The sequence below is a fragment of the Homo sapiens genome, chromosome 4 (genome assembly GCF_000001405.40).
Source record: "Homo sapiens chromosome 4, GRCh38.p14 Primary Assembly".
Taxonomy (NCBI): Eukaryota; Metazoa; Chordata; class Mammalia; order Primates; family Hominidae; genus Homo; species Homo sapiens.
This window is the reverse complement of record NC_000004.12, coordinates 152763495-152779756: the sequence shown is the minus strand read 5'-3', so window position 1 is coordinate 152779756 and position 16262 is coordinate 152763495. Positions and strand designations below refer to the sequence as shown.

Genomic DNA, 16262 nt, shown 5'->3' with positions numbered 1-16262 from the left:
TTCTGGCAGCGACCTAATGCGCGCGGGGCCAGAGGCACCGGCTAGAGCTGGGAGCTTGCGGAAGGGCGCCCCTGCCTGGTCTTGAGAGGTCGAAGGTCTCCAGGAGGCCTCCGCCTCCCTCTTTTTCATTCACACACCCTAGCCTCACACGTTAGGAGGACCCCCCCAACAGACCGTGAGCTGGTGCCGGGAGGGTGGAGGTAGATGTACCTCACCTCCACGCTACCACAGAAGAGCGAAAGCTGCTTTCTCAGCCACCGGAGAGCACGAAGAAGGTTATTCCAGTCCCGGGGGGAAGGTGGGGGTGGTAGGGAGAATGCGAAGATAAGGCAGCAGACGGAATGCGGGCGCTGCCTCGCGCTGCCCCCGTGCCTGGGGAGCCCTCTCCCTTCAGAAAGGCTAGACCCCCGGGCCCGGCATCCCTGAGCTCTTACTTGCTCTGGATTTGTGATCGCTTTTTGCTTTTTGCTCGCTCTCTCACAGTAGATTCCTTGATACTTTTCTTTCCGGCTCCTCTTTCTTTTTCCGGATGACCGAGCTCTGCTTTCTTTGCTTGCCCCATTACTTCTTAAATAGATCATTGTTCTGTCACGGAAACTGCTGAACAATTCGCTCTCTCAGAGCCCTTCGTAGTTTCCTAAACGGGGCCCCAACCTGCACTACTCTCCCCATCCCCAGAGCTCAGTGGTGCGAAAGCGTGGCTCCCCCGTGGCGCTAGATAGACCTGAAGTTCATTTACACACTGTACCATACAGTTGGTCCATCACAGAATATCCCTTCGAACTGCTGGACTGCTTTTCCTTTGACAGCTTTGAATGCTCATTTTTACTCCCATTTCACTTGTAGAAATGCGAAGGGTAACTGTGCACACGGCGAGATTTACCCTTCTTTAGACCGTACTTCTCAGCTGCCTTTACTTGTCACAGTAGCTGACAAGATATTTTTAATGACTAATGCCCAAAGGCAGAGCTCTACCTCTACAGATTTCCAGGGAGTTTCAGTGTAGTGAAATATCCCTGGCAGGTATCTTCCCCAGATCTGTGAATAGTAAACACCTATGGCACCATAAATGTTTCCAATGTATAACAATATTGATTGAGCTCTCTAGGATACCACCTCTTAAAAAAATAGTACTGAAATTCCAAAACATAAATCTCTTATCTTAAGTGGTTCTGTCTTAAACAAAAGAAAGGAGCAAATATATATGCCAACCCACTCAAACTGTAACTTCAATTGTTATAGCTTACTGTGGATTTTTCTGTACAAAGCCATCTTGTTGGTTTGGAGACCATTAGTCTTCTCAATTATAAGAAAATAATCCCAATCTAAATTAATTACTGCTGTAATTGTGTAGGAACTGAGCAACTACAGAACTTGCAGCTAAGTACAAGTGTTGTTCCTAGGGTTTCAGAAGGGTGACTTGGAGGAAGTGTACGGTAGGACTCAGCGGTGCTTGAATGATGTGGACAATGAATACTAAATTGTTTTTGCTGGCTGTTATCTTAAAGATTCCTGCTAGCTGTCTCTTGAGTTTGGAGATGCTTAGCTTGACTAAAGTTAGTCTAACTATTAGACTGTCAGACTCTGAAGTGTTTCTTATTTTGGAAAGGTGAAGACTTGCTTTAGTTTGTTCATAGTTTCCTTGGCAGCTGCTGATGGTTTTGATGGAGATTCAGATGGATTTGGAACTAATGCTAACTTCTGCTTGGTGAAGATGCTAACCAAGTTAGATACTCTTCAGTGAATTCTGGTACTGTGTACGATTAATCCTCATCCACAGTATTACGCTGTGCAAGGCTATATATACACAGGATTAATCTTTCCATGATTTCCACTGCCCTGAAGGAAATTAGAATGTAGTCTGGCTCCAAGAAAACACTAGAAACTACTTCAGCTGGTGATGGAAAATAGTGGAATTCTATACATCCTTTGAGACAATGGAAGCAGCAAACCAGCGTTCTTTGGATTGGGGAATATTTTTGGTACTAACTGAAAAACATCATTTTAAGCCTGGCCCTGCTTAGAGGAGACTTGTTTTCTCTTCCCTCTCTCCCTCTCTTCCTTTTTTCCCTCCTTCCTCTTTTTCTTTCCTCCTTTCCTTCTTGTCTCCCTCCCTTCTCCTTCCTTCCTTCTTCCTCTTTTTCTTTCCTCCTTCCCTCCCTCCCTCCCTTCCTTCCTTTTTTCCTTTCTCCCCTCCTTCCTTCCTTTTTTTCTTCCTTCCTTCCTCCCTCCCTCCCTTCTTTTCTTCCTTTCTTCCTTTGCCCTAAAACTTGGGGGACCCTGCCTGCTCATTTTGTTTAGAATAGAAGATTACTACTTTTCTCTGAATTGTCATTTATTTTTAGAGAGGTAAGAAAAAAGGGAATAGCTGCCTTCCATATATACTTATGACATGGAGATTATCTACTCATTTAACTTTGCACTGCTATTGGCTGTTTATTTGGCTTTTGAAAAATCAGGTGCTATTTATTCATTGGGCTTGTGGGGAACTCTAGTAGCCCTGAATGGCATTTGTGGCATACTCAATGAAGTCTAATTCTTTATCCTGGCATTAAAGGCTTACCAAGATCTGGCCTCAATCTTGCAAATGAGCACTCTCTTATATACCTGAAGGAAAAGTGCTAATTTAGCCAACTAATAGAGATAGGTATAAATACCAATATAGACATAGATATGAAACTTTAGTTGCAAAGAAATGTTTAATATGCTTCAAAGTGCATATTTCCCTCTTCCATGCTTTATTGTCTATTCTTATCAGCAGAAATGTTTTCCTATTTTTCCTTACCTGTGATGTACCTATCCATCCTTTACAGTTGAGTTCAGATGCTACTTCTGTCATGAACCCATTATTTATCCTCCCTGTGAGAATTCATTTTTCCCTGTTTTTGGATCTTACAGCCTTTGATTTGAGCCCCCATTTCAGTCTGCTTTATACTACTGTCTTGCATGTTTTCCCATGATAAATAAGATGGTTTTTGGGAAACTGAACTTTGGACTTACTTGATTCTCTTATAACACCAGGAAATTGGCCAATTCTAGTTGAGTTATGGAAATATGTTGTCTGCTGCATACCAGGCAAGTTCAAGAATACCAGCAACTCCTGCTACTTAGGGTAATGGTACAAGTAGGATTAAGTGGATATAGTTGCTATCTATCTGTAGAAGACAATGAGTGAGTGCTGTCTTAAGTTTGGAAAGTAGTTGATTCTCTGCAGAGGGGTATAAACTACTGATGAAAGGAGAGTGACTCATTACTCCTAGAGATTCTGAATGGGAAGAATGCCAGCTTTATGTTTTCTGATACTGATTTTTTTTTTAATAACTTGGTGCAAAAGTAGAACATTATTCTAAGATGACTGTTGTGGAAGAAAAAAAAGGTAGAACATTAGAGTTGTAAAAATGTTTTTAACTATAAAGAGGAAAAAACTGAACTTATTTATAATTCATTTACCTAGAGAGAACATTCAACATTTTGGTCAATGTATTTTTTTTCTTTATATCTATGTAGATATATATTTCTTCATTTATTTAACAAATTGCTACTGACACCCTATGGTTTGCTGGAAGTGAGCTGTGTAGGAATAACCATGAGCCTCTGCTCTGATGTAATTTTTAGTGTATGTTGTATTTGTTGACATATAATTTTATATTTTGCTTTTTTCACTTAATGTATCATGGAATTTTTTCATATCATTAAATATTCTCTTTGTGTGGCACAATAGTATTTCAGCATGTAGATATTTTGTAATTTATTGAATGAATCCTTTTTGTTGCATATTTTCAATTTTGTCTGTAATTATATAGCAATGCAGGGAATAGTCCCGTGTAGCAGGTGGAATTCTAAGATGAACTCCAGTGACACTTACCTTGTATAATTCCCTCTCCCTGTGAACATGATGGGATATTACTTCCATGATTATGTTATGTTACTTGCAAGGGAATTTTGGAGATATAATTAAGGTTGCTAATCAATTGACTCTGAATTAATCAAAAGGGCAATATTCTAGGTAGACCTAACCTAATCAAGTGAGCACTTTAAGAACAGAGAGTTTTCTCCTGCTTGTGGCAGTAGAGGAAGTCAGAGAGATTCAAAGTGTGAAAGAGACTCTACAGGAGGAATGTTCTCCATTGCTGAAATGACAATTTCCCACAGACAAGGACCTGAGGGAAGCCTCTAGAAGCTGAGAGTAGTCCCTGCCAACAGCCAACCAAAAAAACTAGGGACCATAGTCCTACAACAGCAAGGAACTGAATTCTGCAAACAATCTGATTGCGCCTGGAAGCAAATTCTTCCCCAGAGCCTCCAGATAAGAGCCCAGCTTCTGACCAACATCTTGATTTCTACCTTGTGAGACCCTAAACAGAGGACCCAGTTGAGCCCACCTGGACTTAAGATCTACAGAACTGTGAGATAATAAATGGGTGTTGTTTTAAGGCATTGAGTTTGTGGTAATTTGTTGCATTAGCAGTAGAAAACTAATACATTTGTAAGAAATTATTTTTACATCTATAATTATTCTTTTGGGATAAAATCCTTGATATAGGCCGGGCATGGTGGCTCACACCTGTAATCCCAGCACTTTGGGAGGCCAAGGTGAACGGATCACGAAGTCAGAAGATGGAGACCATCCTGACTAACACGGTGAATCCCCGTCTCTACTAAAAATACAAAAAATTAGCCAGACGTGGTGGCACATGCCTGTAGTCACAGCTACTTGGGAGGCTGAGGCAGGAGAATTGCTTGAACCCAGGAGGCAGATGTTGCAGTTAGCTGAGATTGCACCACTGCACTCTAGCCTGGGTGACAAAGCGATACTCCCTCTTAAAAAAAAAAAAAAAATCCTTGATATAGACTTGCTAGATAAAACGTTATACACAGTTTTAAGGTTTGTATATCATATTGCAAATTTGCCCTCCATAAGCGTATTGTAACAATTTATGTGCCTCCTAACAACCTGTTACCTCACCCCAGCAAACGCTAGATACTGACATTCTGATAGGCAAAAACAAAAATGTTTTTTTTAAAAGAAGATTATGTTTTTCTTATTAATAGTAGGATTGACCATTGTTTTCTTTATTTGAAATTAATTTGGTGAGTCTTTTTTGATGATTTGCATATTCTTATTTTCTGATTAGCTTAACCATTGACATAGAGAAAATATTCCCTAACATGTAGAATAGCATTTCTCTGCTGTAATATTTTCAAGAGGGAGAATGATTAATGAGCTTGAAAGGATGACTATTCTGAGAAATATTAGCTGCTGCCATTACTCCTTGCAAAAGAATATCCCAGATGTTATACTGTTGGAGTTTGGAGAATGTCAGCTTCATTGATCAGGTAGTATTGATGCCTTATTCTTTTCTAGGGAAAAAGTCTAATTTGTCTGTTTGGCATTAGAAATGTGATTATTTTTAGGAATAAAGATGTATCTTATCATGGAAAATTGTAGCTTTGACTAATGTTAACTCAGGGGAAAAACCTAATCTTCCTAAATAAAGTTATCACATTTTCAATTTTCTCAAGATAATGAGCAATCTCTGATAGTATATATTATGTCACTTTAACCAGGATGGGAAAAGAAGAAATTCAAGTTACTTTTTCTATAATCCTTGCTGTTTGACATGATAGATTTTATTTCTGATAAATGAGATAAGGCAGGAGGGAGAGAGGAAGGAAGGGAGGGAGGAAGAGAGGGAGGGATTGGGAGAGGGAGGAAGGAAGGGAAGGAAGGAAAGAAAAAAGGGAAGGAAAGAAAAGAGGAAGGAAAGAAGGAAGGACGAAGTTGAGAGATTCTCATAGTAAATTTGGTTGGTTTTGTCTTTGAAAAATTAGTTTTTGCTATGTCAATTTCTGAAGGTTGGTATCTTCCTAATAAGAGCAAGAATTTTATTTTTATTTTGAAATAATTGCATATTTATAGGAAATTGTAGGAAAATATAAGAAGAGATCCCATATACAAGCAAGATTTTTTTAATGTTAGTTGTATGGTCAAATCTTATTACTTAGGTTTGCCCTCGCTGACAGATAGAGTTGCTATTTGTGTTCACAGAATTCATAATGGCCTATTCTTCCATGGAGGCCTAATGTTGCTTTTTTTTTTTTTTTTTTTTTTTTAAGGCATTGGAAATGCTGGCTTAGGTTGGTGCTGGGAGCATAGAATCCGTAACTATGGTCACAGGAGGTCCCACCAGTGTGATTCAAAGATACTGTAATATAGTTGTAAAGAATGCTGACTTGACATTTAGAAGCCTGGATTCTGGACTGCTCTTAACCACATTGTAACTGTGGGACCAATGAAATCCAGTTTTACCTTCCTCCTTAGTTATTTGGAATACAGGTAGTAAAACCATTTAAAAACTAAAACCCTGGGCTATCATTATTTTTAAGACTTTTTTCGAAATGACACTTTTTTAAAAAAAGAATTCCTTTACTGGTTGTAATTCCTATGATAAAAATTCCTCCTTTGAGTTGGACAACAAGGGCAGAAGAATTTTGGCAAAAGTTTTGTCAAAAGATTTTGTGCAAAAAGTTGTGCATCACCTGGGAAACCAGGAAGCCCAGCAAGAAGAATGGAGTGCCCACACTCACACAGAAGTAACACTGCTCATCAAATTAGCTTGTTATTATCTTGGCTGCCCCACAGATTCTGATAAGGGAGGTGCTGACTTGGGAAAGTAGAGGTGAGCCTATCTGGGGCCATGTGACTGTTCTCATGGCTTAAGAAAAGCCCTACTTTAGGCCGGGCACAGTGGCTCACGCCTGTAATCCTAGCACTTTGGGAGGCTGGAGGCAGCCGAGGCGGGCAGATCATGAGGTCAAGAGATTGAGACCATCCTGGCCAACATGTTGAAATCCCGTCTCTACTAAAAATACAAAAATTAGCTGGACGTGGTGGCGTGTGCCTGTAGTCCCAGCTACTTGGGAGGCTGAGGCAGGAGAATCGCATGAACCTGGGAGGCAGAGGTTGCAGTGAGCCGAGATTGTGCCACTGTATACCAGCCTGGGCGACAGAGTGAGACTCCATCTCAAAAGAAAAAAAAAAAAGAAAAGCCCTACTTTGAGTATAGATTTAAGGTGGGATTCTTGCTTCTGTTTGCAAGTAGGATTTTATAGTTTTCCAAATTGTAGATTCACACAGCCAAAAGACATGAGAGAGATAATGATGATGAGATCATCACCACCTATTTGTTGAGCACTTTCTTAAAGTACTAAATACTGTGCTACGTGCTTTACACTCTTTCATTGAATCTTTTTGAATGCACAATAATGAGATAGGTGCTGTAGTTACTCCCATTTTACAGATAAGGAAGCTGAAGCTTCATATGGTTAAGTAAATTACCTGGGATCACATGAGTACTAAATAGCAGAGTCACTTCTCAATTCAGAACTGCCTGGCACCTTTTTTTTTTTACAGATAGAAAGTAGAAGACCTGAGACGTTAAGACTTGTGGTCACTATCCTTCCTGTTCTTAGTCTACATCTTTTTCTGCATTATACTCTCCTAATTGTTTGTTTCTATGCCTTTTGTCCAGTATTTCTGGCCTCTGTACCTTCAGCTAATGTGTCAAATTAATACAAAAGTTACTGAGTTCTTAGCCTACTAACAGGATAAGGGTTAAAAAAGAAAAAAGAGAGAAAAATTTTAAATCATAAAAATAAAAAGGTATTGGGTTTTTAAGCTTTTAGGTCGAATGGGATTTAGATTTTTTTTAAATAGAATTGTCACTTGATTTTTTAGGGAAGCATTTTCTGTCAGACTCCTATAAAAGAGACACTGTCTCCCATATGCTATTAAAAGTTGAACCTTGTGACTACTGTCTGAGTATGTTTTCTTTTGGAGAAGTTAGAGGGTGCAGTCTGTGACCTCATGTGAAAAATAGCCACCAAGCATCTATCCAGCATCATTTTTAGTTCTTTAATTTTGGTAAGCCCACATTTTCAAAATAGATTAAATTTATCTGATTTATTTCAGAACTATATATTATAAAGCATTCAAAGGCAAGTGAGAATTCAAATCTGTAGAACAGAACTAGAGAGCTTTTACAGAGAGGCCTTTGGGAGGTAAGCATTTCTCTTGGAAACTTTATTGTATTTTCAGAACCATGCTTCTATTATTTTCATTATTAAGAACATAATAATTGGGTATAAGCATTATTTTAATATTCAATTGACATATCGCTAAAATTGCTTTTTTTTTAATTTTTCAAACAACAGAAGAAGATATACTGGCAAGTTCTAGAAGGATTCTACCATTTTCTTCTTTACCATGAACAAACTTGAAAATTAATGGGTAATAGTTGCATGAAAACTTTTGAACGTTTTTTCTTATCTCTGAGGCCTTCTATGGAGAATTAATAGGAGGTTGAATGTGTGCATGGATAAAATGGATCATCTTAAAGGATTGAAGTTCCAAAAATACATCAGCAGGACTGGACAGGTTTTATATAATGAGATTTCTATTTTAGCTTGACTTCTACAACTCTGAATAAGCTATAAACTGAGCTATACAAGGTACTAGGAAGGAAGTTTCTCTTCTAAAATATTCTAGTTGCATATAATATTTTTCTTCAGATCTTTGAAAAAGCATATTTTGTCATCAAGTTCCTACAAAATAAGACTATTAGACACCAACTTTTAGTGTATAAAGTAGGATAGAAAGCAGCAATCTATATTATACTGGAAAACAAATTTAATTAAAGAAACAGTCACCAGGAAGTTAAGAAGAGTAATCTCTACATAAGCACTGGCTGAGATGGCAGAAGCTTCTGTGGATGCCTCAACTCTGCCTGTAACAGTGAAGAAAAAGAAAAGCCTATCCATTGAGGAAAAGATCGACATCATAAATGCAGTGGAAAGTGGCAAGAAAAAAGCAGAGATTGCTGCTGAATATGGAATAAAGAAAAATTCATTGTCTTCTATTATGAAGAATAAAGACAAAGTTCTAGAAGCCTTTGAATCTCTAAGATTTGATCCAAAGAGAAAAAGACTGAGAACTGCTTTTTACACAGATCTGGAAGAGGCATTAATGAGATGGTATCGAATTGCTCAGTGTCTAAATGTACCAGTTAATGGTCCGATGTTACGTCTAAAAGCTAATGATTTTGCCCAGAAACTGGGCCATAATGATTTTAAGTGCAGTAATGGTTGGCTGGATCGTTTTAAATCCAGGTATGGTTTAGTATTCAGAGCTCAACCTGTAGAAGCTACAGGTGTACCAGTAGACCCTTCGACTGTCTGGTACCAAAATGTACTTCCTTATTATTTAAATGATTATCATCCTAAAAATGTTTTTAATATAAAAGAGACTGGGCTGCTTTATCGAATGTTACCTACCAATACATTTGCATTTAAAGGCGAAACATGTTCAGTTGGAAAGTTATGCAAAGACAGAATAACTCTGGTGGTTGGCACAAACATGGATGGCTCAGAGAAACTTCCTTTGCTTGTCATTGGAAAAAAGAGAACTCCACATTGTTTCAAAGGTTTAAAATCATTGCCTGTGTGTTATGAAGCTAACAGAATGGCATGGATGACCTCCGATGTATTTGAACAATGGATGCGAAAGCTTGATGAGGAATTTCAAGCCCAGCAACGAAGAGTGGTGATTTTTGTTGAGTCTTTTCCAGCACATCCAGAGGTAAAGAACCTAAAATCCATTGAGTTAGCATTCTTTCCATCATGTTTATCTTCCAAATGTATAGCTATGAAACAAGGTGTTATTAAAAGCCTTAAAATCAAATATCGACACTGTCTTATCAAGAAATTTTTAAGCTCTGTTGAAGGTAGCAAAGAATTTACATTTTCACTACTAGATGCAGTTGATACATTGCATCTTTGCTGGAGGGCTGTAACCCCAGAGACTATTGTTAAAAGCTATGAAGAGGCAGGATTCAAATCTCAAAAGGGAGAAAGTGACATAACAAATGCAGAGAAGGATACTGGTCTGGATTTGGTTGCTGATGCTCTGGGGGCAGGAGTAGAATTTCCTGAAGGTTTATCTATAGAAGAATATGCTGCCCTGGATGATGATTTGGAGACATGTGAAGCAGCACCAAATGGTGATTCCATATGCACCAAAGAAAGTAAATCGGATGAAACTGGATTTTACACTTCTGATGAAGAGGATGATGATGGATCTCCAGGAACTGAACTCCCTTTACCATCAAAATCTGAGGCAATAACTGCTTTAGATACTCTGAAAAAATTTCTCAGAAGTCAAGATATGAATGACGGACTTCAAAATTCTTTAGCAGACCTTGAAAATTTTATTAACTCTTTATCACCTAAGTAACTATGTATTGTACATCTAAAGAGTAATAGCTTTTCCTGATACATTTTATTATATAAGGTATGTAAAGGAGTTGTACCACACCACTTAAACATAAAAAATGGAAAACTGCTAATCCTTGGTTTAATTGCAAAAACCTTTGGTTTGAATAGCAAAACTCCCTAGTAAATAATGATTGAATAAAAAAGTACAAATTTCTATTTAACAAGGTTTTAGGGAGTAAAAGTATTTCAAAGGGCTATACTAGACACATGGTCAATATGTCAAACATAAAAGGAACTCTTCTGCTATATTTACACATTGAATTGGTGATTTCTATTTTGTTTTTTTAAGTTCAGATTATGTTCTAGAATATTTTAATTTATCTACCTAATCTCAGAAAAAAATCTAGCAATAGTTTATTTTTATAAAGATATATATATATATGCCATATGTATTCTAACTAGACTTAAATATCAAAGATAAAGTAATTTTAAATTATTTTTCAAATAACTAGCTGACCTTTCTAATAAGAAATTACGGAAACCTGCTGAAAATAAAATCTGACTTAACTATATACCAAAATGATTAAAAATATGAGTCTTACTACTTTCAAGTTATTTGTATATCAGGTCAAATGAAAAGCTGTGACCCTATCAGGTTTGTCATCTGTAACTAGAAGCTATGGATTCTTCCTAAATATTTGTATGTATATTTGTGTTTAATAGAAAAATATATTATTGAAACATTTATTAAATTCTTGTGATATTTATAGTGTAATAGTTATGCCTAGATATTTTTCTAATTTTAACAGCTCAAGTTTTTAATCTATAATATGTAATTATTTTTTGGATTTTACTGAATTTTATTTTCAGGTAAAACTAAATGTCCTTTTAGCATATTTTGATGTATGTAATCCTTTTTTCCCCCAAATTTGATGGGTAACACTTTGGATTAAAATTCTGTTTGAGGAAGTTTTATCTATAGAATGTTTTAAAATATTGTATGGAATTAATTGATTTCCATCTATAAAGTAGTCTTTAGATAGTAGAATATTGTAACAATAATTTGAGACTTTTCCATTGTTAAATTTTAGCTAGTTTGCTTATTTAACTTATTACACTCAATTTAGTATCCCCTTTGAAAAATATTTTATAAAAATGTAAAACATACAGATTATTTTTACTATGAATTATTAGTCTGCCAACAGATGACACATTTGGAAGGAAATATCTTTAGGAAGCATTTTTATTTTTCAACTGTTGATTTATTCTGCTTTTGAGAGTTGGTAATAGTAAGCCTTAAAATGTATTAAAATTAAAGTTTCTTTTAGAGTGAAATAAGGATTACTTGAAAGCATTTTATTAATGATTTGATTTAAAATTGTAATTTGGTACAATCATGGGTCTAATGGAGCTCTTAGGAGTTCCACTTTAACTATAGTACTTGGCATATATTGGCTCCTCAATAATTTTTTTCTTTTTTTGTGGTCTGTTTTATTTAATCATTCCAGATATTCAATGATAAAAGAATTGTTATCTCCATTTTTATAGATGAGGAAATTAAAACCTAGAAAGATGAAATGATTTGGTTAAAAATATCTCAGAGCCAAAACTAAAATGCAGCTGTTCCCTGTCACCTAGTCCTGTATTCCTCTATGTACCACAATGCTTCTTATCTATACTCTATGAAGGAAAATTGTATTATTTTCTACCCTTGAGTTTAGGGGACTGAGGGCAAAGAAAATATGCTGGATCCATGCTGGTAGCACTATTCATAAGAGCTCTTCTGAGAACACTATCACTAGTGAAATACTGGGACGCCATCAGATTTGGTAATTCTGTACCAGTCAATCACAGAGGTTCGTAGTTCTTTCGAAAATATTTAAAATAAGTTCAATATTTCCAAAGTACTGAAAGCAATCTCTTTTTTTTCTCCTATATGACATGATCCATTCCATGATCCATAAATATTTCTGAGGCATAATGTATCTAAAGATAATATAATAAGACAAGGCTGGGCATGGTGGCGCACATCTGTAATTCCAGCACTTTGGGAGACCAAGGCAGGAGAATCACTTGAGCCCAAGAGTTAAAGACCAGCCTGGGCAACATAGGGAGACCCCATGTCTACAGAAAATAAGAAAATTAGCGAGATGCAGTGGCACGTGCCTGTTGTCCCAGCTACTTGGGAGACTGAGGTGGGAGGATTGCTTGAGCCCAGGAGTTGAGGCTGCAGCAAGCAGTGATGGTGCTACCACATTCCAGCCTTGGTGACTGAGTGAGACCAAAAAAAAAGTAAAATTAATCAAAAAAAGTAAAATTAATTAAAAAAAATAAGACAAAGCTATTATAAATAAGAATTTAAAATGCCCACAGATTTAAATTCAAAGATAAGTTGTTACTGTGCACTCTTTTGTAGTTTAGAAGACATATAAGCAATTTTTGAATAAAAATTTTAGAAATTAACTTTTCCTCAGATGACAATCACTGCTGCATATCTTGCTCCTGATTTATCTTCTACGTACACAATCATTACAAAGTTAGAACTAAATATTACTTGTCTTTTCAAAACACAACTTTAGTTTGCCTGTTTTTCAATTTAATGTGGCATTATTTTCATTATTCTTGCCTTGCAAATCCCTACTGTTTCAACAATGTTTTTGCTTCCTTCTACTTCATCAAGAGCAAGTCTTATGTTGAATTTGGGACATCATTTCACTTCCAATGGCCACTTAACTACTAGTGAAAGGTTTAGTTCAGGATAAAGTAGGACAATGAGTAAATTAAGGCCTATGAGTTTCATGTGGCCTGCCTGGCTTCCCATTTGGACCTGAGATCAAATCTCAAACCTTCTTTTCACTGTATACAAAGCAGATTAACCAGAATGGGGAAAAGAGGAAAGAGAGGGTTGAAGGAGAGCTTTCCAAGCAAATACCTCAGCTGTTAAGAGACACCCTTTTCAATTCTGGTCCAGTAGGGGCTCCAGTTTGGTAGGGACTGGCAGAGAGAGGTTTGCACCTTAGGAGAGGCAGCACTACACATCTGGCTGTGGTTTCAGACTCCAGTGGTAGGCTAGATCCTTAGATCTAGCCTGAGCTAAGTAAGTACAGTATGGCTTGAGTCTGTCAAGAAGCTAAGAGAAAATCCGACCACCACAGCACAGAAAGACCTAGGGTGGGGACCATAGTGTGCATACAATACATTCTCAGAAAAAGTTTCATTCAGTGGAATAAGTCAAATCAAACTGTAGTTCTCTGCTAACTTGTGATAGACGTATATTTCTCTGAATCTGAGTTTACTCCATTCATAGAATGAGACTGAAAGAAAATTTTGCATACAAAAATATAAATCCCTCCCCCTCTCCCGTCTTCCACTTTCCACGGTCTCCCTCTGATGCCCAGCCGAGGCTGGACTGTACTGCCGCCACCTCGGCTCACTGCAGCCTCCCTGCCTGATTCTCCTGCCTCAGCCTGCCGAGTGCCTGGGATTGCAGGCGCGCGCCGCCACGCCTGACTGGTTTTTGTATTTTTTGGTGGAGACGGGGTTTCGCCATGTTGGCCTGGCTGGTCTCCAGCTCCTGACCGCGAGTGGTCTGCCCGCCTGGGCCTCCCGAGGTGCCGGGATTGCAGACGGAGTCTGGCTCACTCAGTGCTCAATCTTGCCCAGCCTGGAGTGCAGTGGCGTGATCTCGGCTCGCTACAACCTCCACCTCCCAGCCTCCTGCCTTGGCCTCCCAAAGTGCCGAGATTGCAGCCTCTGCGCGGCCACCACCCCGTCTGGGAAGTGAGGAGCGTCTCTGCCTGACCGCCCGTCGTCTGGGATGTGAGGAGCCCCTCTGCCCGGCCGCCCAGTCTGGGAAGTGAGGAGCGTCTCTGCCCGGCCGCCCATCGTCTGAGATGTGGGGAGCGCCTCTGTCCCGCCGCCCCGTCTGGGATGTGAGGAGTGCCTCTTCCCGGCCGCAACCCCGTTTGGGATCTGAGGAGTGTCTCTGCCCGACCGCCACCCCGTCTGGGAGGTGAGGAGCGTCTCTGCCCGGCCGCCCCGTCTGAGAAGTGAGGAGCCCCTCCGCCCGGCAGCCGCCCCATCCGGGAAGTGAGGAGCGTCTCCGCCTGGCAGCCGCCCCGTCCAGGAGGTGGGGGGCAGCCCCCGCCCGGCCAGCCGCCCCTTCCGGGAGGGAGGTGGGGGGCAGCCCCCGCCCAGCCAGCCGCCCCGTCTGGGAGGGAGGTGGGGGGCAGCCCCCACCCAGCAGCCGCCCCGTCCGGGAGGTGGGGGGCGCCTCTGCCCGGCCACCCCGTCTGGGAAGTGAGGAGCCCCTCTGCCCGGCCGCCACCCCGTCTGGGAGGCATGCCCAACAGCTTATTGAGAGCGGGCCATGATGACGATGGCGGTTTTGTCAAATAGAAGGGGGGAAATGTGGAGAAAGGAAAGAGGGGTGGGATTGTTACTGTGTCTGTGTAGAAAGAAGTAGACATAGGAGACTCCATTTTGTTCTGTACTAAGAAAAATTCTTCTGCCTTGGGATGCTGTTAATCTATAACCTTACCCCCAACCCCGTGCTCTCTGAAACATGTGCTGTGTCCACTCAGGGTTAAATGGATTAAGGGCGGTGCAAGATGTGCTTTGTTAAACAGATGCTTGAAGGCAGCATGCTCGTTAAGAGTCATCACCACTCCCTAATCTCAAGTACCCAGGGACACAAACACTGTGGAAGGCCGCAGGGTCCTCTGCCTAGGAAAACCAGAGACCCTTGTTCACATGTTTATCTGCTGACCTTCCCTCCACTATTGTCCTATGACCCTGCCAAATCTCCCTCTCCGAGAAACACCCAAGAATGATCAATAAATACTAAAAAATATATATATATATATATATATATAAATGTATTTAGTAAAGTGTTCCACAAGTATAAGGAATGACTACATTGTACTTCCATGTTACCACTTCCAAATATGCCCAAATGGTAACGTGGTCACTAAACATCAATAACAGTTTTCTCATTGGCATTCTTCTATGCAATAAAATAGGGAAACCAGCATTTCTAGAAATGTGGAGCCCAGAAACTATTTTCAGGCCAAGGCAGGAGGATTGCTCGATGCCAGGAGTCTAAGACCAGCTTGGCCAACAGAGCAAGACTCCATCTCTACACAAAATTTAAAAATAAAAATTAGCTGGGCATGGTGGCAGGAGCTGGTAGTCCCAGCTACTCAAGAGGGTAAGGCAGGAGAATCACTTGAGACCGGGAGCTCAAGGCTGCAGTGAGCTAAAATCATGCCACTGTACTGCAGCATGGGTGATAGACACCTTGTCTCAAAAAATAAATAAAAACAGAGAGGTTTTCATTTTGAATGAGGGAAAAAGGTGACTTAGAATCCTTTATTTTTTCTGAATCCTTATGCAAAGCAATACAGTAAAATGCACTTTACAAACAAAATAGCCCTTTCTATTGCCATATTTGCTGTTTCAGTTCTCCTATTTCCTTGGGCTATAATTAACTTGTGAAGCCTGGAGTAACCCAGAGTCTGGGGACACACTAAGTAACAAATATATTACTGTATTTGTCTGCTTGGACTTCCATATTGCAGTATCACAGACAGGGTGGCTTAAACAACAGAAATTTATTTCTCACAGTTCTGGAGGCTAGAAGTCCAAGATCTGGGCATCGGCATGGTTGGTTTCTGATGAAGGCTCTCCTCTTGGGTTGCAGACTGCCACCTTCTTACTCTGTGCTCACATGACCTCTTCTTTGTGTGAGCATGGAGAGAGAGCAAGCTCTCTGGTGTCTCTCATAAAGGCACTAACTCCCAACATGAAATCCCAACTAACCCTAATTACCTCCCCCTCATTTCCAAGTATCACATTGTGGGTGAGGGCTTGAACATACGAATTTTGCCGAGGGTCGGGGGTCGACACAAACATTCAGTCCCTCACAACTACCTAGTACAAATAAAGGTATTCACATGTTAATCAATTTAGTTTTCCATTTGCTAAAAATT

General features: G+C 39.5%; 1 protein-coding gene across 2 annotated transcripts, besides 1 other annotated feature; it reads left to right on the top strand.

Annotated features, from left to right (window-relative positions):
* On the top strand, nt 27-10403 carry TIGD4 (tigger transposable element derived 4). Of its 2 annotated transcripts, XM_005262807.5 has the most exons (3): nt 27-275; nt 7973-8061; nt 8215-10403. In XM_005262807.5, exon 3 carries the CDS (start codon nt 8753-8755, stop codon nt 10289-10291), a length of 1539 nt encoding a protein of 512 aa, XP_005262864.1. In that variant the 5' UTR covers nt 27-275; nt 7973-8061; nt 8215-8752; the 3' UTR covers nt 10292-10403. The 2 variants fall into 2 exon arrangements, with proteins under 2 accessions (XP_005262864.1, NP_663772.1); NM_145720.4 differs by lacking the exon at nt 7973-8061.
* Nucleotides 376-585: an enhancer, noted in NCBI's record as "active region_22045". NCBI's record gives its function as "activates an Ori minimal core promoter by ATAC-STARR-seq in GM12878 lymphoblastoid cells {active_cell/tissue: GM12878}" and the evidence as "EXISTENCE:reporter gene assay evidence [ECO:0000049][PMID:35858748]".
* Nucleotides 10404-16262: the final 5859 nt, after the last annotated feature.